General features: G+C 58.8%; 1 protein-coding gene and 1 long non-coding RNA gene across 5 annotated transcripts in view, besides 6 other annotated features; one reads left to right on the forward strand and one right to left on the reverse strand.

Annotated features, from left to right (window-relative positions):
* Positions 1-26,187, reverse strand: part of MACROD1 (mono-ADP ribosylhydrolase 1) — a 167,556-nt gene that overhangs the window by 9,007 nt on the left and 132,362 nt on the right. For 2 of the 3 annotated variants that reach the window (NM_001411019.1, NM_014067.4), the window contains exon 4: positions 7,688-7,717. The exons of the other annotated variant lie outside the window; for it this stretch is intronic. In NM_001411019.1, the coding sequence (NP_001397948.1) occupies positions 7,688-7,717 (30 nt within the window). The remainder of the gene's footprint in view (positions 1-7,687; positions 7,718-26,187) is intronic. 3 annotated transcript variants of the gene reach the window in all.
* Positions 308-898: an enhancer, noted in NCBI's record as "H3K27ac-H3K4me1 hESC enhancer chr11:63775344-63775934 (GRCh37/hg19 assembly coordinates)". NCBI's record gives its function as "activates a minimal SCP1, AML or CMV promoter by ChIP-STARR-seq in primed H9 embryonic stem cells {active_cell/tissue: H9 hESC(primed)}" and the evidence as "EXISTENCE:reporter gene assay evidence [ECO:0000049][PMID:30033119]".
* Positions 13,986-14,684: an enhancer, noted in NCBI's record as "H3K27ac-H3K4me1 hESC enhancer chr11:63789022-63789720 (GRCh37/hg19 assembly coordinates)". NCBI's record gives its function as "activates a minimal SCP1, AML or CMV promoter by ChIP-STARR-seq in primed H9 embryonic stem cells {active_cell/tissue: H9 hESC(primed)}" and the evidence as "EXISTENCE:reporter gene assay evidence [ECO:0000049][PMID:30033119]".
* Positions 14,685-15,383: an enhancer, noted in NCBI's record as "H3K4me1 hESC enhancer chr11:63789721-63790419 (GRCh37/hg19 assembly coordinates)". NCBI's record gives its function as "activates a minimal SCP1, AML or CMV promoter by ChIP-STARR-seq in primed H9 embryonic stem cells {active_cell/tissue: H9 hESC(primed)}" and the evidence as "EXISTENCE:reporter gene assay evidence [ECO:0000049][PMID:30033119]".
* Positions 14,973-15,267: a silencer, noted in NCBI's record as "tiled region #3196; HepG2 Repressive DNase matched - State 8:EnhW". NCBI's record gives its function as "represses a minimal TATA promoter and a strong SV40 promoter by Sharpr-MPRA in HepG2 cells {active_cell/tissue: HepG2}" and the evidence as "EXISTENCE:reporter gene assay evidence [ECO:0000049][PMID:27701403]".
* Positions 16,082-16,780: an enhancer, noted in NCBI's record as "NANOG-H3K27ac-H3K4me1 hESC enhancer chr11:63791118-63791816 (GRCh37/hg19 assembly coordinates)". NCBI's record gives its function as "activates a minimal SCP1, AML or CMV promoter by ChIP-STARR-seq in primed H9 embryonic stem cells {active_cell/tissue: H9 hESC(primed)}" and the evidence as "EXISTENCE:reporter gene assay evidence [ECO:0000049][PMID:30033119]".
* Positions 20,179-20,980: an enhancer, noted in NCBI's record as "H3K27ac-H3K4me1 hESC enhancer chr11:63795215-63796016 (GRCh37/hg19 assembly coordinates)". NCBI's record gives its function as "activates a minimal SCP1, AML or CMV promoter by ChIP-STARR-seq in naive and primed H9 embryonic stem cells {active_cell/tissue: H9 hESC(naive and primed)}" and the evidence as "EXISTENCE:reporter gene assay evidence [ECO:0000049][PMID:30033119]".
* LOC124902685 (uncharacterized) lies at positions 20,692-25,620 on the forward strand. 2 transcript variants are annotated; one of them, XR_007062707.1, is made up of 3 exons: positions 20,692-21,226; positions 21,989-22,229; positions 23,020-23,258. It is a non-coding gene; the product is annotated as an uncharacterized LOC124902685 (long non-coding RNA). The 2 variants fall into 2 exon arrangements; XR_007062706.1 differs by lacking the exon at positions 20,692-21,226 and adding an exon at positions 25,234-25,620 and having other exon boundaries at positions 21,793-22,229; positions 23,020-23,177.

Genomic DNA, 26,187 nt, shown 5'->3' on the forward strand with positions numbered 1-26,187 from the left:
TGCGAGGAGTCGAGCAATTGGGAATTGATTCGAGCGCGGTGGGAAGTTTCCATCAGTGAAGGGACGTGTTCTGGTTCGGCCTCTGGACCCTCTTCTGTTCCCTCTTCTGGACACGCCCTTCCCTTCTATGCTGAAGCACAGCCCCCTCCCCCCTCGCCCTTTGCCAGACAGCCCCACGCCAGAGGGTCCCGGCACGCCCACCCTGCACACACAACACCCACCAGACTGGCACAGGGACAGGTGCGGGGACTGCCCAGCCCTTCCGGCTGCCTGCTGCTTCTGAGCTCAGCCCTGCTGGGGAGGGGAGGGCCGCACACAGCCCCGCCTCCAGAGGGCCGAGGCTGGCCACAGGCCACGGAGGTCACGTTTATCTGCTCGCAGAGCAAGGCCACGGCTAATCGGAGCGGCCGGAGCTGAGCCTTTTCCTAGCGGCCGCGGGAAGCAATCACGGATTAGCAGCGGCCGGGCGATGGGAGATAGCGCCAGAGCAGGGCGCGGAGCGCTTGTGAGCCGGGCAGGAGTCGAGCGCTGAATACTTAGAGGCCTGGGCGAATCCTCCCGGGCCTGCGGGTCTACGAACAGAGAACCAGCCAGAGCCAGAGAGAAAGAACGACAGGAGAAGGGAGAGGGAGCCAGGGAGAGGCAAAGCGTGGAGGGAGAAATGGAGAAAACGAGGGAGAGAGGGAGGTGGCAAGAGAAAGAGGTGAGGGAGAGAGGCAGGGTTGTGGGGGAGAGCGCTCGGCTGGCCCCCAGGGTCCCAGCATGTGTGTGAGGAGGGACCGGCCCTGGGTGGCGGCTTCTGAGCAGGTGAGGGAGTCTGCGGTGGGGCCTGGGGAGAGGCGCCCAGGGTTAGGGTGCGGGCGCGGGACAGGGAGTGTTGTCCACCTGGCAGACCTTCACTAAATGCAGCAGTGGAGGGGGTGTCGGAGGGGCTGCCCTGACATGGGAAGGTGAAACTAGGCGGGAGGGTTGCGACAGGAGGGCAGAGGAGCGCTCGGGCCCGGGAGCAGCATGTGCAAAGGCCCGGTGCTAGGGGAAGACAGTGAGGGAAGCCCAGCCACCCTAGCTTCTCTTGGGCGGTGTAGGAGACACACACACGGGCTTGCCCTGCCAGCACAGGGTGCAGAGGTGCTCAGGGCCGACGGCATGGGGGCAGGGGCAGCTGCACCCACACAGGCAGGCTCGGCTCCTGCAGTTTGAGCGGGGTCGCTAACCTCAGGAAGGCCCCAGACAGAATGTGGGGAGGTTGGGGATGGGGTTCCATCCTCTCCTGCCCGCCTGCCAGGGACCTGCCTGACTCCCTCCCACCCATGCCAGGAGCTGACCCTTTGGGGCGCTGGCCAGGCCGGAGTAGAGATGGCGGCCACGCAGCCAGAGGAAGGCGGCCCTGAATTAATCTGTCACTAAAGCTTGGCCGTGGCAGGCGCAGTCATGATTTAGATGAATAATTGAAACGCTCGGATACATTTATTATCCCTTTAGTGCAAAAGTGGCAGAGAAAGACGAGGGGTAATTGAAAAAGAGCGCACAAATCTCCCCGAGAAAGCCGGCTCCTTATCTCCGAGTAAACATTTCAGTCCTAATAAACAGGAGAGACACGGGCGTCAGGGCTCTGTCGATTCCCATCCTGATTTAGGACCTGCCTCCCTTCTTACCATACAATAGGAGAGTGTTTTAAAAAATGTTTTTATTGAGCCAGTAAAAGCTTTCCAGGAGGGAGGTGGGAGAGAGGAGGGGGCCTGGCAGACACCAGGCCAAAGGGTCTGTCGGGAAGGCTGGCAGCTGCCCCAAGCCCATCAAGCCTTCCTGAAGCAGACACAGGCCTTCCCCCTGGGGGGCCCGTCCATCCTGCTCTACCTGCAGAACTCCTATTTAGCCTTCGGGACCCAAGTCAAATGCTCCCTCTGCTGGGAAGCCTCCTACCAAACTGGGTCTCCCTGAAGGCAGAGCCAAGCCCTGAGTCCCAGCATTTGGCATAGCTCCCTCAACTCAGAGAGAGCTCCAGGGAAGAATGGGTAGTAAGGGAGTAGGGGGACTTCCCCAGGACTCACTGCATTGCCAGCACCATCTAGTTCGGCCCCAGGGTGTGGTGGGTGGGGGTCCAGGCCCAGAGTGAGGCAGGCACAGGAGTCCTGTGCCCTCCAGGTTAAGTCCCTTTAGCCCCAGCAGCCCCTGGGGGCTCTCACTGCATTGGGGGTGCCCGGGAGACTCCCTTCTCTGCTCCCCTGAGACTGCAGCCCTCTTCTGCTCTAAATCACCGCACATTTGCCGTAAAAACAGTGGGCTCGGGCCCCAAAGCCCTGCAGGCCAGTCCCAGCCCCATCTTCTGAGCCCCAGTTGCGCCGGCCCCTCCTGGCAGGAACTCCACGCCACTACCCACACCAGGGTGTTGGCCGGGGTGTTGGCTGGGATGTTGGTTGGGTTGTTGCCTGGGGTATTGGTTGGGGTGTTGGTTGGGGTGTTGGCTGGGTTGTTGGTTGGGGTGTTGGCTGGGGTGTTGGCTGGGGTGTTGCCCAGGGTGTTGGTTGGGGTGTTGGTTGGGGGGTTGGCTGGGGTGTTGGTTGGGGGGTTGGTTGGGGTGTTGGTTGAAGTGTTGCCTGGGGTGTTGGTTGGTGTGTTGGCTGGGGTGTTGGTTGGCATATTGGTTGGGGTGTTGCCCAGAGTGTTAGCTGGGGTGTTGGTTGGGGTGCTGGCTGGCATGTTGGTTGGGGTGTTGGCTGGCATGTTGGGGTGTTGGAGTGTTGGCTGGTATGTTGTTTGGGGTGTTGGTTGGGGTGTTGGTTGGAGTGTTGGTTGGAGTGTTGGCTGGGATGTTGGCTGGGGTGTTGACCGGGGTGTTGGCTGGAGTGTTGGTTGAGATGTTGGCTGACATGTTGGGGTGTTGGTTGGGGTGCTGGCTGGCATGTTGGTTGGGGTGTTGGCTGGGGTGTTGGTTGGGGTGTTGGTTGGTGTGTTGGTTGGGGCGTTGGCTGGCATGTTGGTTGGCATGTGTTGGTTGGGATGTTGGCTGGCATGTTGATTGGGGTGTTGGCTGCCATGTTGCTTGAGGTGTTGGCTGGGGTGTTGGTTGGAGTGTTGTTTGGGGTGTTAGTTGGGGTGCTGGCTGGTGTGTTGGTTGGGGTGTTGGCTGGCATGTTGGCTGGCATGTTGGTTGGGGTGTTGGTTGGCATGTTGGTTGGGGTGTTGGCTGGCATATTGGTTGGCACGAGTTGGTTGGGGTGTTTGGGATGTTGGCTGGCATGTTGGTTGGGGTATTGGTTGGGGTGTTGGCTTGCATGTTGGCTGGAGTGTTGGTTGGGGTGTTTGCTGGTGTATTGTTTGGGGTGTTGGCTGGCATGTTGGTTGGGGTGTTGGCCAGGGTGTTGGCTGGCATGTTGGTTGGGGTGTTGGCTGGCATGTTGGTTGGCATGTGTTGGTTGGGGTGTTGGTTGGGATGTTGGCTGGTGTGTTGGTTGAGGTGTTGGTTGGGATGTTGGCTGGCGTGTTGGCTGGCATGTTGGTTGGGGTGTTGAAGTGTTGGCTGGGGTGTTGGTTGGCATGTTGGTTGGGGTGTTGGCTGGCATATTGGTTGGCACGAGTTGGTTGGGGTGTTAGGATGCTGGTTGGCATGTTGGTTGGGGTATTTGTTGGGGTGTTGGCTGGCGTGTTGGCTGGGGTGTTGGTTGGGGTGTTGGTTGGGGTGTTTGCTGGTGTATTGTTTGGGGTGTTGGCTGGCATGCTGGTTGGGGTGTTGGCTGGCATGTTGTTGGGGTGTTGGCTGGCATGTTGGTTGGGCTGTTGGCTAGGATGCTGATTGGGGTGTTGGCCAGGGTGTTGCCTGCTGCCCCTCTCCATTGAGGGACTGGCAGACTGGCAGTCCCCAGGGTGAGGGGATGGGATGTGGGTGCCAGACTGAGAGCTGTGTCCCTGGCTCCCAGGGCACACAGAGGGTGCCACTCACTGCACCACAGATGTTAATTATTTACTTCAAAGCAGGAAGCTCTTCTAGGAGCTCAGAATCTCCCATAACCCTGCCCTCGGGGGAGTCCATTCCGGTGGGGAGGCAGGCAATGAAGAACAAACACAAAACGCAAGCAGGGAATCAGGGCTGCGGGACGAAGACATGGAGCAGGGCAGTGCATCAGGGTTCTGGGCAGAGTGGCCAGGGCAGGCAGGATGGCCCTTGTGCGTGTTCGAACAATGGGTGGCTGGTCATGGGAGGGGCGCGGGTAGAGGCCTGAACTCCTGTAGGAGGGATGTCCAGGGACCCCACGGGAAGATGGGTGTGTCTGGGCAGAGTCAGATGGGGTCTAACTTGGGCAGGTAGGCGATTAGGACTGGATGAACTCAAAGGATGGTGGGAGGAGCAGGGGTATAGGGGAGGGCAGAGCACCTCCGGGGACCAGGCTGGGCTCCATTCCAGCCCCAGCATCGTCCCTACCACAGCCCCCTCCCCACCACCTCCACTGTGTTCCAATCACATTAGCAGAGTGACAGTCCCAGCAAGTGCTGGCGGCGGCTCCATAAATCTCAGCCCATGTTAAAAGGTTGGACTCCGGGCCCACTTCCTCCAGGGGCACCCGCCCCGTCCATCTCTCCATCAGTCAGGTTGTGTGAGAGGCCTGTGCCAGCCGCTCCGCACCCCTAAATGCTGGAAGGAGAACCAGAGAGACCTCTGCCATGCCTCTGAGTGGCCAGGGCAGGGCCCCTCCACTTCCTAGAGTGAGGTCACAGGCCATCTGTGAGCCACTCCTGGATTTGCCAAAACATCTTTGGTTTCCACCAGCTGCCCTTGGGTAAGTCCGTTGCTTAATGTGTAGGGTCATCTCCACCTTTACCTGTAGTTCATTCATTCAATAAACTTTTTTTTTTTTTGAGACAGGGTCTCGCTGTGTTACCCAAGCTGGAGTGCAGTGGTGTGATCTTGGCTCACTGCAGCCCCTGCCTATGGGGTTCAAGCAATTCTCCTGCCTCAGCCTTCTGAGTAGCTGGGATTACAGGTGTGTACCACCATGCCCAGCTAATTTTTGTATTTTTAGTAGAGACGGGGCTTCACCATGTTGGCTAGGCTTGTCTTGAACTCCTGACCTCGTGATCTGCCCACTTCAGCCTCCCAAAGAACTGGAATTACAGGTGTGAGCCACCGCTCCTGGCCTTAATTTTTATATTTTTAGTAGAGACAGGGTTTCACCATGTTGGCCAGGCTGGTCTCGAACTCTTGACCTGAGGTGATCCACCTGCCTTGGCCTCCCAAAGTGCTGGGATTACAGGCATGAGCCACCATGCCCGGCCCCTTGTTCCTTGTTTTTTGAGACAGGGTCTAACTCTGTCACCCTGGCTGGAGGGCAGTGGCGCAATCATGGCTCACTGCAGCCTTAACCGCCCGGGCTCAAGTGATCCTCCTACCTCAGCCTCCCAAGCTATGACTACAGGCACACATGCTAGCATGGTTAGTTGATTTTTTTTTGTAGAGATGGGGTCTTACTATGTTCCCCAGGCTGGTCTCAAATTCCTGGGCTCAAGCAATCCTCCTGCCTCGGCCTCCCAAAGTGCTAGGATTATAGGCTGGGATTACAAACATTTACTGAGCACTTATTATAAGTGCCAGCCCCAGATACAGTCTTTCATTTTCAGGGGGTAGAAGACAAGGAACACAATATGTAAGTAAATTATACAGCACATTAGAAGGAGACAGGTGCTCAGAAAAGTTAAAACCACAGCAGGGTGGGGGCCGGGGGAGTGCCAGCATGGGGCAGGGGAGGCAGCTGCAATTTCAGCTAGGGGCCAGGGTGGACCCCCCTGAGAGATGGTATTCAAGTCAAGGCCTGTCGGAGTGAACGGAGCAGCCGCGTGGACAACTGGAGCAAGGGCATTGCAGGCAGAAGGAACTGCCAGGGCAAAGGCCCGGAGGCAGGAGTGGGCGGGGCCTGTCCAGGGAGGCCAGGGTGGCCGGAGCAAAGTGGAGAGGGTGGCAGTGCGGAGGTGACTGTGAGAGGTGACTGGGGACCTAACGGGCCATGCTAAGGAACTTGGCCTAGGCCCTGAGTGAGACAAGAACCCTGGCAGGGTGGTGGGCAGAAGAGACTCGATGAGCTGATGTGGGACAGAAAGGCCCACCCCCTTTGTGATCCTTTATCTTCCTGAACTGAATGGCTAAAGATCTCGCTCCTCACAGGCTGTCTGGGATCCTGGGCCATCTCCCATCTCCCCACCTCTTGGCTGGGCTCCAGTCATTCCTGTGTCAGAGCCTCCCTCTCCTCCACTTCCAGGCCTTTGCCTGCGCTGTTCCCTCTGCCCGGGACACCCTTCCCAGCACTCTTCGCTGGGCTCATGCCTACGCATCCCTCAGATTGCAGAGGAGGCACCACCTCCTTCTAGAAGCCTTCCTGATGCCCAAGCAGGGACAGGCACTCCTCATCAAGCTCCTATGGTGCCACTCCCACCCCCACCCCCACACCACAGATCACCCTGTGTCTTGGTGGTGCTCTCATCTGCACTGGGAGCTCAGGGGACAGGGACCAGGCCCATCTGTGCCCGGCAGTACCTGTCCTGGCACCCAGCTCGGGGCCCGGCACACAGGGGTGATCAATGAACGGAGGAAGGGCAGGGTGCTGTGGGTGGGACATGCAGGTGTCAGGTCTGCAAAGTGTCCTCCAAAAGGACAGGCTTCGGAAGAGGGTCCTAGGTGGTCTGTTTTCAGGACCACAGTCCCCGGCAAAGCCCCTCATTCTGTGAGGCCTCTGGGGAGCTGTGACCTCCATGGGGACAGCTAGAGGAGAATGGGGAGGAGGGAAAACATCTCAGCCACAAACAGACCCCCATTCTGCATCCTGGCTGGTCACCGACAGCTCTTAATGCTGCTCTTATTTATTCCTGACCTTTATGCCCCTTTTATTTTTCCCCCTTTTAAAACCTGGCCTGGGCCCTGCCACCGCTGCCGTAAACACGGCCCCCGGGATTTATCCGACGGCACATTAACCCCTGGCCCCTAGCTCACCAATCATCCTGCTGCCTGTGCAGACAGCGGGCAGCCTGGCCAGCTGGGGGGCTGCAGGACTGGGCTGAGGGGCTGGTGTGGTCTGCCCTAGGTGGGCTGGCCATGGAGGCAGGTGCTGGGGGTACAGGGACACGCCCGCTTGGTATCTGTGACCTGGCCTGTATCCCTTGCGGCCAGGCCCACCCTGACCTCTGACCTCCTGCCTGCCTGGCCCTTCCAGAACCCCTGCTCCGTGGTGGTCGTTAACAATGGCAGACACAGAGACATCCCAGGGCTGAGAGCTGGCAGCTCTCTCCCTGACTTTGTGAGACCTGTCCTGGCTGCGGAGCCCGAGGTCCAAGGGCAGGGTAGAGATGATAATTTTGCCCTCACAGGTGGGGAAACTGAGGCCAAAAGGGACAGAGCTGCCCAAGGTCACAGGGAGATCAAGGTCAGGGCTGGGTTTTTTCCACCACACTTGTGGCCCCTGCCCAGTTACAGAGCAGGAGGCCTGCATTCAGAGGGGTGGGGAGCTGGCCCAGGTTGCCTGGTGGTGAGGGTGCCAGGCCTGCCATCCAGGTCTCCAGCTCTGGGGAAGGGAGGCACCCTGTGAGGACAGTGGGGAAGGTGGATTGCAGTGAGATGGGCACCGAGGGCGAGGGGCAGGGGAGGAGCAGACCCAGCAGGGGAGATGCCACACCCCACCCCCACCAAGACAGAAGGTCCACTCACCGCCACCGCCTCCGAGCAGGGAGCTGTTGGCTGCAAGAGAGAGAGACAAAGGCAGATCAGTGGGGAAGGGGCTGCGGCGGGAGTATCAGCCTTGAGGGGAGGGTGATGTCAAGATGGGAGTGGGCTGCCAGCTAGGTCTTCAGACTTGGGCACAGGGTCTTCCCAGTCCTCCGGGGCGGTAGTAGACGATGGTGAAGAGGGAGGAGGTTCTTCATGGTCCTGGGGTTTGTAGGGTGGTAGGGCTGGGGACACAGGAGAGCTATCAGGGCCTGCCTGCTCACCCGGACGCAGACGCATGGGGGGGTCCAGAGAGGCAGATGGCCCCCGCCACGGCCCTTTCATTCCTTCACTGTTTCGCCCACAGTATCTCCTGAGGCTGGTCGGCGCCAGGCCTGGTGCAGAGATGTGGGGAGGAAAGGACAGGTCCCCTTCCCCAGGGCTCACAGCTTCCGGCAGGGCATAGCCTTGAAGCCACTAGGAAGCAAACTGCACCTTTGCAACCGGGCTAAGCGCTGCCCAGGGCCAGAGCTGGAGGACTGAGAACGCGGAGCAGTGCTGAGGGGGCGCAGAAGGGGGCAGGGGCGGGGGCGTCCAACTGCGAGAGGGACAAGGCGAGCCGGGTAAGGGGCCTGGAGCGCTGCCACTGGAGCCAAAACCAGATCAACAGCGGGGTGACTGGGGCCATGTGGCTTCGTGCCTCATTTTCCCCATGTGGGAGAATAGCCCCACCTCACCAGCTGGTGTGAAGGTCAATGGAGAGGGGTCCTCAACTCTGAGCCCCGCTGCAGGAAGACCTGGGTCCCCGCCCCCTCCTTGGACTAGGGGTAGTGCTGCCAGGCAGAGCTGGACTGACGGCTTTGTGGCTGCCACCTTCCTGCGCACAGCCCTGTCTGTCTCAGTCTGTCCGATCGGCTGCCCCTCGCCACCATGCAGCTGACACGGGGGCAAAGTGAGGCTGGCAGCCCCTCTCTGTAGGAATGCCAGAGCTGTGCATGCCAGCACTGCCCCCAGCCTGGGCTCCAGCCCCGATCCGCAGCCTGCGTCCGTGGTAACTGCCAGAGCTCATCAGGGAAAGCAGCGGGTGAGGCCAGGCAGGTGCCGCCCAGGCCCAGATGCTGCCCAGGTGGGAGGCCAGCTGCGCCCGCCCCTCTGCCGAGGAGTCCTGGCTCCCAGACAGGGCCTTCAGCTCTGCACACAGCTTTGCTACCCACCCCATCTGCCCAGACCATTGCAGCCCTTTCTGTAGAAAGGATGAGGGGACACAGAGCTGAGCTGGGTGGCCAGGCTGCAGGCCCAAGATGCCGTGAGGACGGCATGGACGCTGCTAAGTGGTGTCGGGCGGCTCCGAGTGGCTGGTCTCCCAGAGCTGACAGCTCTTCGCTTGGGGAATAATTAATTCCACCGCCCAAAAACCCAGGGCTGCAAGTTGCCATGTTACTTGCGAGATTAATACAAGCAGCTAATTAAGATGGAGAGGCGAGGAGCGGCTGGGCGCTCCCAAAGCAGGGGTGGGGGCCGCGGGAAGTGAGGGGGAGGTGAGCTGAGTGGTGCCAGCGAGGCAGTGGGAGCATGAGCCGAAGCCGGAGCTGGAGCTGGAGGGAGAGCAGGACACGGACCACAATGGGGTGCCCAGGCTGGCCCAGGACAGGCTGCAGAGGGGCGGGCCCCCCAGTGACTCTGGGTGGGGCCTGTGCCCACAAATGCACATTTCTTTCTTTCTTTCTTTCTTTCTTTTTGAGATGGAGTCTGGCTCTGTGGCCCAGGCTGGAGTGCAGTGGCACCATCTCGGCTCGCTGCAACCTCCACCTCCCAGGTTCAAGTGATTCTCCTGCCTCAGCCTCCTGAGTAGCTGGGACTACAGGCATGCGCCACCACACCCGGCTAATTTTTTGTATTTTTGGTAGAGACTGGTTTTCACCATGTTGGTCAAGCTGGTATCGTACTCCTGACCTCAAGTGATCCACCCGCCACGGCCTCCCAAAGTGCTGGGATTACAGGTGTGAGCCACCGCGCCTGGGCATGAATGTACATTTCTGCTGACCAAGACTATTTGCTGGGTGTAGACGGGGTGCTGGGCACAGATGGGCCCATTTATTATCATAACAAAGCCACAAGGGAGGTGCGATGGTTCCCATTTTACAGAGAAGGAGACTGAGGCTTAGGGAGCTTCAGTCATGGGGTGGCAGCAGCAGAATTGGAAGAGTCTGTCTGACTCCAAAGCCAAGCCACGAAGCCAGCTGACCCCAGGGACACTGTCTGAGGGTCGGTCAGAGGGACTGCCTTTCCCTGGCCAGGGGTGGGGCTTGCCTTCTCGAAACCAGGCAGAGTACCCCGCAAGCCCCAGATGCAGCCTCCACCCACTCCCCACCCCAGCAGGTCCAGCTGCAGAGGCGAGGGCTGGGCATCTGGGCAGTGCCACCCCAGAGCCAGCGAGGGAGGAGGGGGCATCTCAGGTCTCGGTCCAGCTCCAGGCCCCTTGGCCTGGGCAGTCCTGGCAGCGGTCGGCAGCTGCCCTCCTCGGGACCCCCCCACCTCCCCCCATCACCTCTCTCTCTTAATTAACACCGGCCACAAATGAGCTGGCTCCTGCTCAAAGAGGGCACTGTGCCAAATAGGTTGGCAGCGAGCCTCGAAGGGGTGGTAGGGGAGGGTTGCTGACCTGCTGTTCTGCAGTCCCCTGTGGGAAGGTGATGCCATTCCCCTGCCCACCTGGCGCCCCCAAACTCCACTGTGTGTGGCCTGCACTGCACCCGGCAAGGTGAGTGGGGTGAACTGACCTGACGCCAACCCGGCCAGAGCCTGAGGAGGGGGTGAGCTGGGGGCAGAGGGAAGACTTTGCTGGGTGGAGCTGGGGGAGGCCAGGCCAGGAGATGGGATTTGCCACAGGCAGGAGAGTGGCTGCGGCCCAGTGCTGGGGGCTCAGACTTGGATGCACGGAGGACCTGGTCCCAGGCCACCCACGCACAGTGGGTGCCCCGGGAGGCCAGTCTACTGTGCCCCCTTCTCTAGCCCCCTGTGCCTGACGTCCCACGGGTGGGGGGGCTCTGGGGGTCAGGTGGCCAACCTGGTGGCTGGGACCCAGTTCCTCAGCTCCTCCTTTCCCTGGGCCCCCGTTCTGGCCCCTGGGCCTCGACACCAAGCCACATGGTTCCCCCATAAAGCTGCCTCCAAGGCCGGAGAGCTGGGCCAGGCTGTGCAGGGGAATGGCCCGGAGGCTTGCAGAGAAGAGCCTAGGGAGGCTGTGCCAGCCAATGCCAACAGACAGGCTTCTGGGTGTGGCCACCCAGCCCGCCCAGCCCAGGGCAGGGCCTCTCAGGTCTCCCTGCTCCTCAGGCCTCCGTGCACCCCAACATCTTGGCCTGTGGCCGGCCCTTTTCACCTCAGCTAGTTCCTGGCCACCGGCTTGAGCCTCTAAGTCCCCTCTCTACTGCACCACCCCCCTCAGTTTGCTGGGAGGCTCTGGTCCTTACACAACAAGTCATCAACCCAGTTTCCAGAGGAGGAAACTGAGGCTCACAGAGTACCCGGGGACTGGGGGAGATGCAGGTGGGCCCAGGAGCACTGGTTGTCACAGCTCCTTTTCTTGACCCCCAACATGCCCACCTCAAAGGGCTCTTCTTGCTGAAGGCGTGGTGGCTTCAGGCGGGCAGTGGCTGTGTGAGGTGGGGGATGGGCACTGGACTGCGAGTCCAAGCTGGGGCTCATGATCCAGCCCCACCCAAGGGACCCAGACCTGCTCCCAGCAAACAGGGGCCTTTGAACGCCATGTGGGGCTGAGTGGGGGACCCGAGCCTGGACCTGGGAGCTTGGAGCGGCACAGTTCGCTTTGGCTCTGGGTGGGGGCGGGGCCTCCCGGCAGCAAGCACACCCTGGAGGCTGTGGAGTGCCCTAGTCTGTGGTCTGCTCTTGGAGTCACCTGTAGGCCCCCACTGCAGGCCGAGGTGGCCCGGCCCCATCGGGTTCCCCCCGCCCGAGGACATGCCTGCGCCATGCTCCCTGGGACTTGATTAACTGGCTCTGAGCCCGGTGCTGCGCCTGTGACCTTGGGGTGGCACCCCTCAATGCCAGTCACTGCCAAGTCCTCTGTCCGCTGCTGGCGGTCCCTGGGGACTGGGGGCCTGGAAACCTCAGTCTCCGACTCCCACACACCCCTCCTCCCGGCCCTCCTCTGCCCCAGCACTTGCTGTCCCTGAGGGCAGGTGCAGTAGCTCCCCAGTTTGTGCCCCTGCTCCCAGCCTAGTTAGAGGCTAGCAGGTGGCCGCTGTCCAGCGAAAGGGAGAGGGCCAGACCTGAGTGCTCAGAAACGACAGGTCACAGGAGGCCCGAGGCACAGGTGGCACCCGGCCCCTCCTCCATGCTCCACACAAAACATTTGAATTCAGTGCCAGTTGGGTGCCAGGGTTGTGCTGGGCAGCAGGCACAGAGAAAAGAACAGTATGGAGTCCCTGGGCCTTGGAAGCTTCCAGTCCTGACCGGAGGGGTAGCTGGGAGCAGGCTTGAGAGCTGCCCCGGGCGTGCTAAATGCTGTGGCGAGGGGAATGGGGGCGTGTGGGATCTACTGAAGTCTGCAGACTGGGAAGGCTTCTCGGAGGAGGTGGCATTTGAGCTGAGGCTTGAAGGATAAGAAGGAAAGGCATGGAGGGAGGGGCACGGGGACGTGCATGATGAGGGCACCCTACCAGCCAACACCTCACTGAGAGGGCAGCGCCAGCCTCCTAGGGCCCAGGCAGGGCCAGCCTCCCTGCTGGGCACAGTAGACACGTGCTTAGGGCCCATGACACTTTTAGGGGCCCACAAAGATGTTGCAGTTCTTTTAAAATCAGAAGAAAACAATGAACTTTTAGGTCAAAGACAATGTTATCAGATATAATATTAATACATTTGTCTTGATGCTAACCAAGTCATAAAATATAATTTAAGATATGTTTTATGGAGGAAAGGGACCAACAAGGTGGAATGCCTGGGCCCAGGCTGGGTAAGCTTGGTGCATGCACAGCTCATTTAATCCTTTCCCTGTCTGGAAGACGTGTTTACAGACCTGTTTTACAGATGAGGACGCTGAGACACGGAAAGTGATCCTCTCACAATGTACATTTGGAGAGGAGGTAAAATCTCCTATTTTGCCCCAGCTGCCCTATGAAAACCCTCCCAGTAGGGAACCCTGGGGGACTTGGGAGCCTTAGTGAGAAATGAGAAATCCCTTTGCTCTTAGGATAAAGACTGGCTCCTTGCAGACCCCCAGGCCCCATCGACCATCTCCTCCCCTTCTCCTCTCCCTCTGCCGTACATATGGTCCTCAAACTTGCCCCATGCTCTCCAGCCCCAGACCCTTTTCATAGACTCTGCCATGGCCCCTCTGCCTGGAGGAGACCCTCATCATCTGCCACCTCCTCAGGTCTCCTGGCCCCCGGTGATGCTCTCCTGGGGGGGCCATGAATCACTATCACTGCCTCCAGAATCCCCTCCCAGGTGCCTATCTTTTTTTTGGAAATGAAGTCTCACTGTCGCTCAGGCTGGAGTGCTGTGGTTCGATCTCGGTTCACTGCAACCACTGCCTCCAGGGTTCAAGTGATTCTCCCACTTCAGCCTCCTGAGTAGCTGAAAGTCTAGGTGCGAGCCACCATGCCTGGCTAATTTTTTTTATTTTTAGAGACGGGGTTTCACCATGTTGGCCAGGCTGGTCTCGAACTCCTGAGCTCAGGTGATCCACCCACCTCGGTCTCCCAAAGCGCTAGGATTACAGGTGTGAGTCACGGCGCCCGGCCCCCAGGTGCTTATCTTGATACCCCCACTCCTGCCCTCGGGTGTCTCCCTCATGGTTCTTCCCCGGCTCTCAGCACAGCGCCTGGCTCACAGCAGGTGCCCACTAATGAGTTCCTGAAGGAGCCCGTGGACATTACAGATGGTGCCCAGAGTCACTCAGCTGGATTTAAGCTGGGTCTGCCTGCCTGACTCCCAAGCTCCAGCTCTCTACCATGGGCCATGCAGGGGAGCCCACCCTGGGGCCCTTGGGAGGCAGGACCTGGGCCGGGAGCTGTGTAGGCGACAGGGGCTGCTCCAAGGGCAGTGGCAGGAGGCCAGAGCCACGAAGGTGCTCAGGTGCAGGAACTGCCTCTGCTGTTCCCCTGACAGGGACGAAATCCTCCAGCCCAGGGAGGGGGGCTGCCGAGGGCGGTGAGGGGTGCTGTGTGGGGGCCGGGACATCAGAGGAGACGCAGTGACCCAAGGAAAGCGCTGAGCAGGTTCCTGGGCCAGGGAGAGGCTGGGCGAGCAGGCACAGAGGTGACTTTGAGGCGGGCACAGCCCACCTGCATGTCCCTGGAGGCCGCCTCCACTCCCCCTGCTTGCTGCTCTGGGCCTCACCCTGGCCTCAGCTGCCTGGAGGGGCCCCAGCCAGGAGTTGGGGGGGTGGGGGCTGCTCCCCTAAGTCACCCAGCGTCCTGGCCTGGCCTTCATTCTCCTCTTCCCCTTGTGAGCCGGATCTCAGCCTTCTGTTCTCTGACAAGTGTGCAGCCAGCCCCACCGTGTGCCAGGCGCTGGGACACGGATGGGGCAGCCCTGCTGGCACGTGCATCATCTGGCTGGGAGACCATCAGGAAAGACAGCACGAGAATCAACTTGCACAAGAATCCCTGTGAGTGCCAGAGGCCGAGAAGGAAATGCAAGGGAGTGGCAGGGGGCCGGGGGGGGGGGGGGGGGGTGTGAGGTGGCGGCGGGCAGTGGATCTGGAGGGGTGGGTGGGGCCTGCTGAACCCTGGAGCTGGTGTGAGCAGCACAGCCAGGCAGGGGTGGGGGACGAGGAGCAAAGGCCTTGAGACCTCAGGGGCTGAGGAGCAGGGAAGGAGGACAGAAGTGAGGGGGCTCAGGCAAGAGCAGCCCCTGGGGGGCCTTGAGAGCCTTAGTGAGAAATGGGAGCTGCTGGGGGGTTTAGACAGAGGAGGGATGAACCGCACAGGGAAGGGACTGGGGGCACAGGCAGTGGCAGGAGGGGCCTCCTGGCTACTGCAGTGTCCGGGTGACCCCTGCCTCCGGGATGCCTCTCAGACTTCCCCTGGGGATAGCAAGCCTCCTTGGTGCTCCCACAAAGTGTGTCCCCAGCATCCTCCTCACCCTCCCCGAGCTCAGATCCCCGCCATCAGCACAGAGCCTGGCACCTCCAAGGGGCTCCATGACTGCCAACTGTCCCAGCATCTGACCAGCTGGCAGGCCTGGCCCCACAGGGGGCTTAGGGGAGCGGAGTTTGTTCTTGGAAATCGATGCCCCACTTCCTGCAGGCCAGCGGTGGGTATCCGTGTGACTTGAGGGCGAGTCGTTTAAAACATGTTTTAGATTAGAAACACCCCGCAGATGGAATAACATGTGAAATGTGCTGGATTTTGAAGATAAAATAAGAGACTTCAAAGGCCCCTCAAGCTGTGAGAGCAGTTGCTTGTTTGACAAGCTCTGTCCCCCCAGGCCAAGGTCACTGTCCTCCGTGGTAGGGCGGCCCAGGTGGAAGGTGGGAGACTTCCTGGACATTTTCCAGGCTGGGGAGCCAGGGGAGCAGGGGCCTCACTGGAGGGTGAGGGCTCCCATTTATGGGCACCAAGTGCATCCCCAGCAAGCTTCCACATGGATTTTTTTTTTTTTTTTTTTTTTTTTGAGATGGAGCCCAGGCTGGAGCACAGTAGTGCGATCTCAGCTCACTGCAACCTCTGCCTCCTGGGTTCAAGAGATTCTCCTGCCTCAGCCTCCCGAGTAGCTGGGACTACAGGCATGTGCCACCACGCCGGGCTAATTTTGCTATTTTTAGTACAATTGGGGTTTCACCATGTTGGCCAGGCTGGTCTCAAATTCCTGATATCAAGTGATCCATCTGCCTTAGCCTCCCAAAGTGCTGGGATTACAGGTGAGCCACCACGCCTGGCCTCCACATGGATCTTTGACCATCATCTTTGCACACACCCTCCTGTCCCACTTACAGATGGGGAAACTGAGGCCCAGAGAAGAGAAATGACTTGCCTAAGGCCACAGACTTCAGTGGGAGGAGCCAACAGTCTTATGCTTTGCCAGCCCTGGTCCTGAAACCCCCAGCTGTGATCTCGGGTCAGCTGCCCCACCTCCTGGGGCCTCAGTTTCCTCATCTGTAGGGGGGGTGATCATTTAACTGAGGCCCTTGTGAGGCATAGATGATAAAGTTAAAAATGCCCGTAAAACCTACAGCCTCACAGGGCTTCACTGTGGCAGTGGGCCCCGAAGCTGGGTGGGGGCGGTTCCTGGGGGCAGAAGGTCCCAGCACTCCTGGTAAGTCAGGGAGAAGGATTTGAACCCCGCTGCTCCAGGGCTAAGCCCCTCACCACGTCTTCTCTGACGAGCCTGGGAGCTGCTCAAAGCTGCTGGGGTGGTACCCAGCTGGGCATCCCCACTAGATTCCCCTGGGTCTCCTCCTTCCCACTGGGCCCATTCCAGGCCCTCCTTTCCCCGACTCCCCTGTACCTCAGAGCGGCCTCCTTCACTCCCACACACCTCCAGGTGCCCCCTGCCTGTTTGCCCACGTCCACTCCACTCTATAGCCCCTCTTCCTGGTCTAATCGAGGCATCCCACCCCCACGCCTCTCCCCATAAAAGCCTCACAGTTCACTGTTTGAAATGGCGTGGCTGCGGTTCCAGCTGGCCTGGGCCTCTCTTGTCTGCTTCCTGCCTGGGTTTCTTGGGCTCTGTCTGCCTGGCTGCCTGGGCCCCTGGAGACCCAAGCTCCTGGCCAGTCTCACCCCAAGCTGTCCCCTAAACCCCTGGCAACATGGAGGTCCCCCTCAACACCCCCTCTCCAAGCCCTGTCCCCAGGCACCTTCCACTTATTGCTATTTTCCTAAGTAAAAAATTCATGTTCATTCCACCAAATGGAATACCATGAGCATGCAACACAAAAACAAGAGAAACGCAAGTCAGCTGCTCGCTCATGGCGCAGACTCGGCTCGCCCCATTCCCATGGCCCTGAAGGACCTTCCAGACTTTAAAACGAAACAAAAAATAGCTGATGACACATTTATCAAATAAGTTCTCCGTGCTTTGCATTGGGCCAAGTATTTCCAGTGGCTTCTTTCATTTCGCCCTCCCCACAAGAGCCCGTTGAGGGGGTCCTATGATTTTTCCCACTTTACAGATGAGAAAATAGAGGTTCGCAGAGGCTGAGTGACTTGCCCAAGGTCATGCAGCTGGGGAGTGGGGAGCTGGGTCTGAATTGGGCTGTCTGACTTCCATGGGAGGACTGAGCTGCTGCACTGCAGGACCCCCAGCTGCTGCCTGGGCCTCCCCTCTCCTGGGCGCCATGGGGCAGGCACTCAGCATCCCACATTAGCATAACCATAAGCATCCCTGAAACTCAATTACCAGGAGATGGCTTGGGCCCCAGCCAGCCGGGCAGTCTCCATCCTTGCAAGAATGAGGGGCTGGTGATCCAGGGAGCCTTGGCGGGTGGGAGGGTGGAGGGCATCAGAGAAGATGAGGGAGGAGTTGGGGGGCCTTAGGACGGCCATGGACCCCTCAGTCTGTGGGTCTTGAAGGCAGCCTTGACCCCTAGGAAAGGTCAAGGCCCAGCCCCAGCTGGGCAGGCCCGACTGCCCCGTAGGAAAAGTCACGGGTTCCTCTGCACCCAGCTTGCTGGGTGACCCCAGAAAGCCCCTTGCCTCTCTGTGATTCAGCTTTCTTCTAAAAGGAGAAAACCAGAAGCTATTTTATTGTTCTTTAATTTTTAAATTTTTTTTGAGACAGAGTCTCACTCTGTCGCCCAGGCTGGAGTGCAGTGGTGCTACCTGGGCTCACTGCACCCTCCACCTCCCAGGTTCAAGAGATTCTGCCAGGCCTCAGCCTCCTGAGTAGCTGGGACTACAGGCACACGACACCACACCCATCTGATTTTTGTATTTTTAGTAGAGACGGGGTTTCACCATGTTGGCCAGGCTAGTCTTGAACTCCTGACCTCAAGTCAAAGTACTCAGATTACAGGTAGGAGCCACCATACCCAGCTGGGGCTATTTTAGTAGAAAACAAAGCAGGAGTTTGCACGAGGAAAGAGTGAGCACCAGCTCTGAACAGCCAGGCCAGCCTGGGCTCCCCCTGACTCCCAGATCCCCATCCCAGGAGGCGTGGCTGCTGTGGCCTCCTACATAGGCGGCTCCTCAGCTGCCCCTCACCCCTCATGCCTTCCTCTCCCAGCAACTGATGAGCCTTTTCCATGCATTTCCTGCATGGATGAATCAACCTCACAAAACAGCAGAAGCCCCCTCCCTGCAGAGGTGTCCACTATTCTGGATTTGGCATGTTATTTTCTTTAGAGTTTTACTATGCGTGCCCCTCAACAAGGTAAGATAGGTTCTGTGTCTTTGAGTTTTGTATAAACGGGAGCTCCCGGTTTGCTGTTATTATTCATTGCAATGCTTGTAAGATTTATCTGGGCAGGCCCACACTGCTCTCATGGGCCCCCCCCGCTCCTTTTTTTTTTTTTTCAGACGGTCTCGCTCTGTTGCCCAGACTGGAGTGAGTGCAATGGTGGGATCATAGCTCACTGCAGCCATGACCTCCCGGGCTCAAGAGATCCTTCTGCCTCAGCCTCCCAAGTAGCTAGGACTACAGGCACACATCACCACATCCGGCTAATTTTAAAATTTTCGGGCCGGGCGCCGTAACTCACACCTGTAATCCCAGCACTTTGGGAGGCCGAGGCGGGTATATCACAAGGTCAAGAGTTCGAGATCAGCCTGGCCAACATGGTGAAACCCCGTCTCTACTAAAAATATAAAAATCAGCTGGGCGTGGTGGTGCGCGCCGGTAATCCCAGCTACTCGGGAGGCTAAGGCAGGAGAATTGCTTGAATCTGGGAGGCGGAGGTTGCAGTGAGCCGAGATTGTGCCATTGCACTCCAGCTCTGGGCAAGAGAGCAAGACTTATCTCGGGAAAACAAACAAACAAAAATTTCACAGAGACAGGATCTCCCCATGTTGCCCAGGCTGGTCTTGAACTCCTGGGCTCAAGTGAGCCTCCTGCCTCAGCCTCCCTAAGGGCTGGGATTACAGGTGTGAGCCACTGCGCTCGGCCTCGTGTTCACTGGTGTTTAATGTTCCATGGTGGAACTACCCCACGCCCAGCCACCCATTCTCCCACTGACCCACAGTCAAGCATGCTTGGTTTTGTCTCATGCAAACACAGTGGCAGTAGCATCTTTACACGCCCCATGCACACATGCACCAGAATTTCTCTTGGGTCCACACTTAGGAGTGGGCTGCTGGGTTGTGGAGTGCGCATATCTTAACTTTACTAGTTATTGCCAAATTGCTCTGCAAAGTGGTTGTTCAGATGATCGTGTTAAAATATAAATTAGATCGTGTCACTTCCCTGCTTAAAATTCTCCAATAGCTTCCGATTATACTTAGAATAAAATCCATGCTTCCCTCCATGGAGGCATGGCTGTACCCCACACCCCTCCCCCACAATTTCCTGGCCTCTTTTCTCTTCCTTCAATAGGTCTGGCTCTTTCATGCCCCAGGGCCTTTGCACATACGTTTCCCTCTGCCTGGCACACTCTTCCAGCTCTTCCCAAGCTGAGCTCCTTCTTATCCTTCAGGACTCAATGAAAATGTCACCTCCTCTAAGGGGCTGCCCCTGACCACCCAGTTAAAAGGCCTTCTGCCCCATTCCCCTTATCAGCCTCTTTATTTCCTCTGGAGCCCACACCCTGTGCCCATAATGACCTCATCCTCTGATGTGTTTGCTGGTTTATTAACAGCATGGCAGCCTGTGGGGAGACGACCTCATTTGCTTTGTACATTCCTGGATCCCAAAGGCCGGCATGGCCTGGCACCTAAGAGCTCCTCTTATGACTACTCATTCATTCAACAGACATTGATGAGGCCACCGATGTCACAGAGGGTTAGCAGTGGGGAAGGGGCTTTGCAGAGGGGAGTGTGGCTGAGAGGAGGGCAGAGAGGTGACCAGGCCCACGGGGCCCTCCCTGATCCTTCTCCCACAGTCATGGGGTGTCATGGCGGGTGCTGGAGCTGGGAGCAGCAGGGTTGGTCTTGCCCTTTAGAAAGACCCCCTTTAGAGCTGGGGAAGGGAGCAGATTGAAGAGGTGGTCCTGGAGGCAGGGGCTGCAGGGATGGTGGTGGCTGAGGATGGGTTGAGGGAGGGCTGGGAGAGGCGGCATGATTGAGCCCATGGGACCAAAGAGAAGACCGTGGAGATGGGACTGGATCAAGGATGCGATTGGCTCAGAACTGGCTCAATCCAGTCAATGGAAGAGCACATGGTCTATGAAGACACAGTGGTAGCTGTAGCCCCGCCACCCTCCTGCCCATGGGGGCTTCCACCACCCTCTGCAGGAAGCTGGGAAGGGGCTCATTCATGTCTAGCCCACCCAGAGGCTCAGGTCTTAACCTCTGGGGTTATAGGTTATAGCCTCCCCCTGGCCCCCAGTGACCGCTTTGAACACTTCCCCAGACGCTGCCTGTAAGCACTACACTCGGCCTACAATTTCCGTGGGAGGATCCTCCCGGGGCCCCCAGCAAGGAGCCCTTGACCTAGGTTCCCCTCCCCCACCACGGATTTGAAACCGAGGCCCTAGAAGGAAAGGAACTGGAAGAAGGTGGCACAGCTGAATTGTCACTTTGCTTTTTAGAATAGGAAGTGTTGCACCAAGGCCAAAAACGTTCCCTTCTCAGTAAAGACAGAGGAAAGGCAGCAGCCACTTGCTGCGCAGGGAATCTAAGTCAGACACCAGGAAGCACCGTCCTCTGCCTGCCGGGCACCCGCCACCTCTCTGCAGCCAGTGGCTGCTCACCCTCTGAGGCTGCCCAGGACTCTCAGGATGCGGGGCTGGGCAGGCGGAAGAAGCAGTTGTGTCTGACTCTAAAACTAGTGCTTCCCCAGTGGGGAGTGCTGGGGAGGCGCATGGGAAGGGCCGGGTGGGGTGGGGACCAGGCCTTCTAGTTCCCTGCTGTCCCCAGCGCCAGGGCCTGTGCTGAGGGTCTGGAGCCGAGGGGGCCCCTTGCCCTGTGTTATTACCCCTCCCAGGCCTTGTCCTGTGGGGACACGACAGGACCCTAGCCTGGTCCCTGCCTGCCTGCCTTAGGGCCCCCCTGGCCTGGGCGCCTCCTCTTCTCTGTTCCCCTGCCCTCCCAGCTTGGGCTCCACGCTGCAGAGGGAGGAGGGAGAGGGAGGAGGGAAAACGGTGGAGGGAGGTGGGAGGCAGGAGGCGGAAGGAAGGAGCAGGAGGCAGGAGGAGGTCAGTGTGGCAGCCATTGGTATGCGAGGCCCGGCCTCAGCCCCTCTGCTCCCTCCGCGGCCCAGCCTTTCTGCTCAGCTCTTTAAGAATCCCTCCTCGGCAGCGGCAGCGTGCTGGTTGCTGGGCAACCCCATCGCGCCCCGCCCCCTGCCGCTGGCGCTGGCCCTCTTCCCCTCCCCCTCCTCCCGCAGCTCCTCCCAGTGCCCCCAGCCTCAGCGGCGCTGGTGCTCCTAGCTCAGAACCTGCCAGGCCTGGCTGCTGGGGGCACCTGTGCCCGGCAGGTAAGTGGCTTTGAGTGACTACATCCAGCCCCAGCTCTGGAGTACAGCTCTGCCTCCCAGGACTCAGGGAGGGAGACCCTGGGCTTAGGACACTCTTTCTCCTTACTTCCCTGCCCCTGGAGCACCTAGGCCAGCAGGCGAGGGCAGGTGAGGGGTCCCAGAAGATGCCATCTGTTTCCGCAACCCCAGCTCTGCAGCCCCAGGACTCTGGGAGAGGGACCCTGGACTCAGGGCACCCCACCTCAGACTCTCCCATCCCCACCTCCCCGCCCCAGGGCACCATCTGTGGCCTTAGCTTTATTGGCATCTGTTGGGGGACAGAGACAACCCAAGGGGAAGGGCGAGGAGCTGCTTGAGTTCCCAGTGAGGTGGGGAGTGGCCACCTGCTGGGGTTGGTTGAGCCGGGTGCTGGGATGTGGGCGCTGGGCCTCAAGAGCCTTTGCGCTGTGGGGGAGGCTGAGGCCATAAAGCAGCTCACACGGGCAGAGGAACGGGAGGGGAGATGAGGGGGCTGCAGAGCTTGGGGCCCCTGAAACAGGCATCTGGCGGCCGGCAGAAGAGGCACAGTGACGGGGTGGGGGGATCCCCAGTAGAGGTCTCTGAGACACCAATCTCAGAGCCTCCTGCATCCCCTACCTCGGGCAGTCACAGGGACCCCGTCCCCTGGCTCCCTGATGTCTTGGGGCTGCCACCCTCTCTTTGGATCAGGCCCTACCTCTCGCTCCCAATGGCATCCCCTTCCTCACTGTCCCGGGGGTCCAGCCCCCATTTGCTTCCACCTGCCACAGACTCTGCACCATCCAGAAGGCCCAGTCTCTCTCCTGGAGGCCCTTCCCAGCCCACCCTGCGCAGCTGGCCTCGCCCCCACCCCCCTCTCGGACCCATGCCCATGAGCTGCTCGTCACACAGCCCTCCCTACCCTGGCTGAGGCTGGTGTCTCCACAGGGCTGTCTTTCAGGACACAGTTCACATCTCCTTCCTGAACTTGGGATGTGTGTAACAGGTGAATGACAGCTGGAGTAAAGGAAGGTCTAAATCACCGCAAAAAGCATATTCTCTGCTGGGAATGATCGCTGAGAAGGGAGGGAGCCGGGAGAGGCAGCCCTGAGTGTCTGGAAGGGATGGGGGCAGGGGAGGTGATGTCACTGGTGGGGAGCAGAGGAAGCTCCCAAGGGAAGGAGGGGCCCATGAGAGAAGCCTGGCCACCAACCGCCTCAGTCCTGCTGGGGCTGGGGGCTGACCAGCTGACAGGTGGAACAACCACCCCCCGGGTGACACAGTCTTGCCTTTGCCCAGGCCTGCGTTCCCACCCTCTCTGGCGTCTGTCTCCCCACCCACCCAGGGGCAGCTGGTTAGACCTGATCTCCCCCGTCATGTCTCCATCACCCCCCAAACTCACACCCAGACTCTACCCACTCCCCAGTAGCTGGATGTGCATCTGGCCCCCCAGAACCCCAGGAGCCATCATCTCCGGGCAATTCCCAGTTTTATGAATCATGGTTGGCCTTGGGACAGCTCCGTCATTGTTGCCTTGAAGGGCTCTGTCAGCCTGATGCTCGCTCCTGTTTAATGTTCTGTCCATTCATTCACCACATTCACCAATGCCTGACCATGCTGTCCCCACATGCTGGACACTGTAGCAGGGGTTGGGGACATGCAGGAACCCAAATAGGCCCGGCTGTGCCCTCAAGGTGCCGACAGTCTGGTGCAGAGATGAATACTAACAAAACACACATCACTGGACACAGGTGCCTGTGATTCTAAGTCACGATACTATTGTACGTACTCCCCAGGAAGCAAACACAACGCCAGAGAAAAAATCAGCCACACCCGGATCTTAGAGATGTGGACATGTTGGCCGGTAGATGAAAAACGCAGTCATAGAAATCATAAGCAATCACCAACGAGCTGAGTGCTACAAAACAGAAGTGGAGGAGGGAGACAGAAGAAGGTGACCTAATCGGGAAGGTGGGGTTAGAAGCTGGGCATGGTGGCGGCACCTGCAATTCCAGCTACTCGGGAGGCTGAGGTGGGAGCATCGCTTGAGCTCAGGAGTTCGAATCCAGCCTGGGCAACATAGTAGATCCTGTCTCTTAAAAAAAAAAAAGGAAGGTGGGTGGGTGGTGGGGATGTGGGGGTTAGGGAGGCCTTTCTGATGATAGGTTGGCCAGGCTCTGGGCTGATGAGGAGGAGTTGGTTAGGACTGGAGAGGCGGAAGGGTGCAGAGAAGTAAGACCCTTGTTTCAAGGCCTGGGGGCAGGAGCATGCTGAAGGGAGGGATGAGGATGAGGAGGAGGCAGGCACTGGAGCAGGGCTGGAGGGGTGCTCTTGTCCTGGCTGGCAGCCTCCCCGGTGCCAGTGGCCTGGTCTGACCTGCCTTGGGCCCCTCCCTGCTCCCAGCACCAGTCCTGGGGGTTGCTGACTTCACCCTACCTGGCTTTGTCCCTTCTGTGCCTGCTCCTTGGGGCACCCTCTCTGGGACTTTCCTCCTGGGCTGGAGGTCTTGCTCTCTGGCTCTCCCTGAAGCTCTGCGCCAGGGCCCACCCTCCTGGTCCTAGACCTTGTGCTTAGAGGGGAGAAGCCCCAGCCCTCTGTGTTGTGCATAATGGTGGGAGGGGAGCACAGTGGAGTTAGAACTTGGATCAGAGAAGCTGCTGGAGCCTGCCTGCCTGCCTGCCTGCCTTCCTTTTTTTTTTTTTTTTTTTGTGACGTAGTCTCACTCTGTCGCCCAGGCTGGAGTGCAGTGGCACAATCTCTGTTCACTGGCAACCTCCGCCTCCCAGGTTCAAGTGATTCTCCTGCCTCAGCCTTCCCAGTAGCTGGGATTACAGGCATCCGCCACCATGCCAGCTAATTTTTGTATTTTTAGTAGAGACGGGGTTTTGCCATGTTGGCCAGGCTGGTCACGAATGGCTGACCTCAAGTGATCCACCTGCCTCGGCCTCCCAAAGTGCTGGGATTACAGGCGTGAGCTACTGCACCCGGCCACTGCTGGAGCTTTCTGATGTGTGCTGGCCTGGTGTCCCTGAAGTGGCATGCACAGCCCGCCTATCCAGAGGTTACATATCCATGCATTCGCGTGAACATCCCGTAGTATACTGGGGCATCACTGGGGCCCCGAGCTAGGAGTCCACCCCTCCTTGGAGGTGATACCCAGGCTGGGGCCTGTGGGGAAGGCTGAGGCCAGGGTTGTGCCCTCTGAACATCTGCAATTTGTCCTTGCCTTGGTGCCAACCCCTGACCACTGCCCTGGGATGGCTTCATGCCTGGATGCCCAGCACAGAGCCTGGGGCTAAGGGTCCCTGATGATGACCACAGACCCCACCCCCCAGTGAGGAAGACCCTGTTCCTCCCTTGAGTCAAGTCACCTCCTTCCCCTGCCCCCAGCTGAGAACAGGCCCAAGTGAAGCCAGGGGTGGCCCAGCTTTAGTTGACCACAGTCTAATAATGGTGAGTCATATTGTATACTTTGTATACTTCACTGTATACGAAGCACTTTCCTCCTGGGACCTCACTGGACTCTCGCTAGCCCTGGGAGGTCTGAGATGGCCTTGTTAAGATAAGGAAATGGAGGCACAGCAAGGCTGGGATGGTGCCCAGGGCCGATGGCTGGTGAGTTGCAGGATGGCGAGCAGGACCCAGATTTAGGGGCTCCAGAGAGGGTAGATGGCAGCTGGAGAGGTAAGGATGCTTCGGGCAGGGCCAGGGTGACCTTGGCTGCCCGGTGGTAAGGCCCACCCCACCAGGCTGTGTGGGTTACTGCCCCTCTGGGAGCCGGGAAGCTGGGGCTTGGTGAGCTCAAGGTTGAACCTACAAATCATCGCCAGGTGACTTGAGCTGCCCTTGCGGCTGAGTGCATCCCCCATGAGTGCCCAGCAGGGACTAGCTCAGTCCTCCAGCCCAAGGCCACACTGCCTTTACCAGTCACCTGTGTCCTCCTGGAGCCCACAGCTCCCAGGGGCTCGGCAAGGGTTTGTTGACTGAACAGTGATCTTTCTGACTCTCAGAGCCCACTGTCCCCTTCCTGGAATGACACTCCCTCGTGGTGCCCTACTCCTTCCAAGATAAAGAAGAGGCACTCCAGGTTTGTCTAAGACCCTGCACACCCATCCTGGCTGACACCAGCCACCTCATCTTCCACTATCCGCCCCCCAGCTTCTGTCCCCCACTCTAACCAAGAATTCCTGAGCCTCAAAGCCAAGGCTGTTTCACGTCACAGCAACTGTGAGCTTCTGCTGTCTGCAAGAACATCCCTCCTGCCCCTCCAAGACCCAGGTCAAGAGGCACCTCCCTGAGGAAGCTGATGTCAAAATCGACTTGGCCCTCTGTCTTGGGGTCACGAGGTAATGCCTGCTTCAGCAAGATCTTGCTAAGCCATAACTGTCTAGGTGCCCAGCCCCCATGCTGGAATTTCAGCTTTGCCAGGGCGAGATCCAGCAGGGCCCGATTCACTTCTGGTCCCTGGTGCCCTAAACAGCACCTGGCACACAGTGGACTCCCAGCCATATCCCCCGAACTGTGCACAGCCACCAGGCATGGCTGAGCGGGTTATTCCATCAGCTTTGTGGAATATCGTGCAGCTGTTAAAACCACAATTATGAAGATGATTTTTGTTTGTTTTTTAGGGACAAGGTTGCCCAGGCTGGAGTGTAGTGGCACGATCATAGCTCACTGCAGCCTCAACCTCCTGGGCTCAAGTGATCCTCTCGCCTCAGCCTCCTGAGTAGCTGGGACTACAGGTGCCTAATTTTTTTTTTAAATTATTTTTTGCCGGGTGTGGTGGCTCACGTCTGTAATCCCAGCACTTTGGGAGGCCGAGTTGGGTGGATCACCTGAGGTCAGGAGCTTGAGACCAGCCTGGCCAACATAGTGAAACCCCGTCTCTGCTAAAAATACAAAAATTAGCCAGGCGTAGTGGTGCATTCCTGTAGTTCCAGCTACTCGGGAGGCTGAGGCAGGAG

Source organism: Homo sapiens, chromosome 11 (genome assembly GCF_000001405.40).
Source record: "Homo sapiens chromosome 11, GRCh38.p14 Primary Assembly".
NCBI lineage: Eukaryota > Metazoa > Chordata > Mammalia > Primates > Hominidae > Homo > Homo sapiens.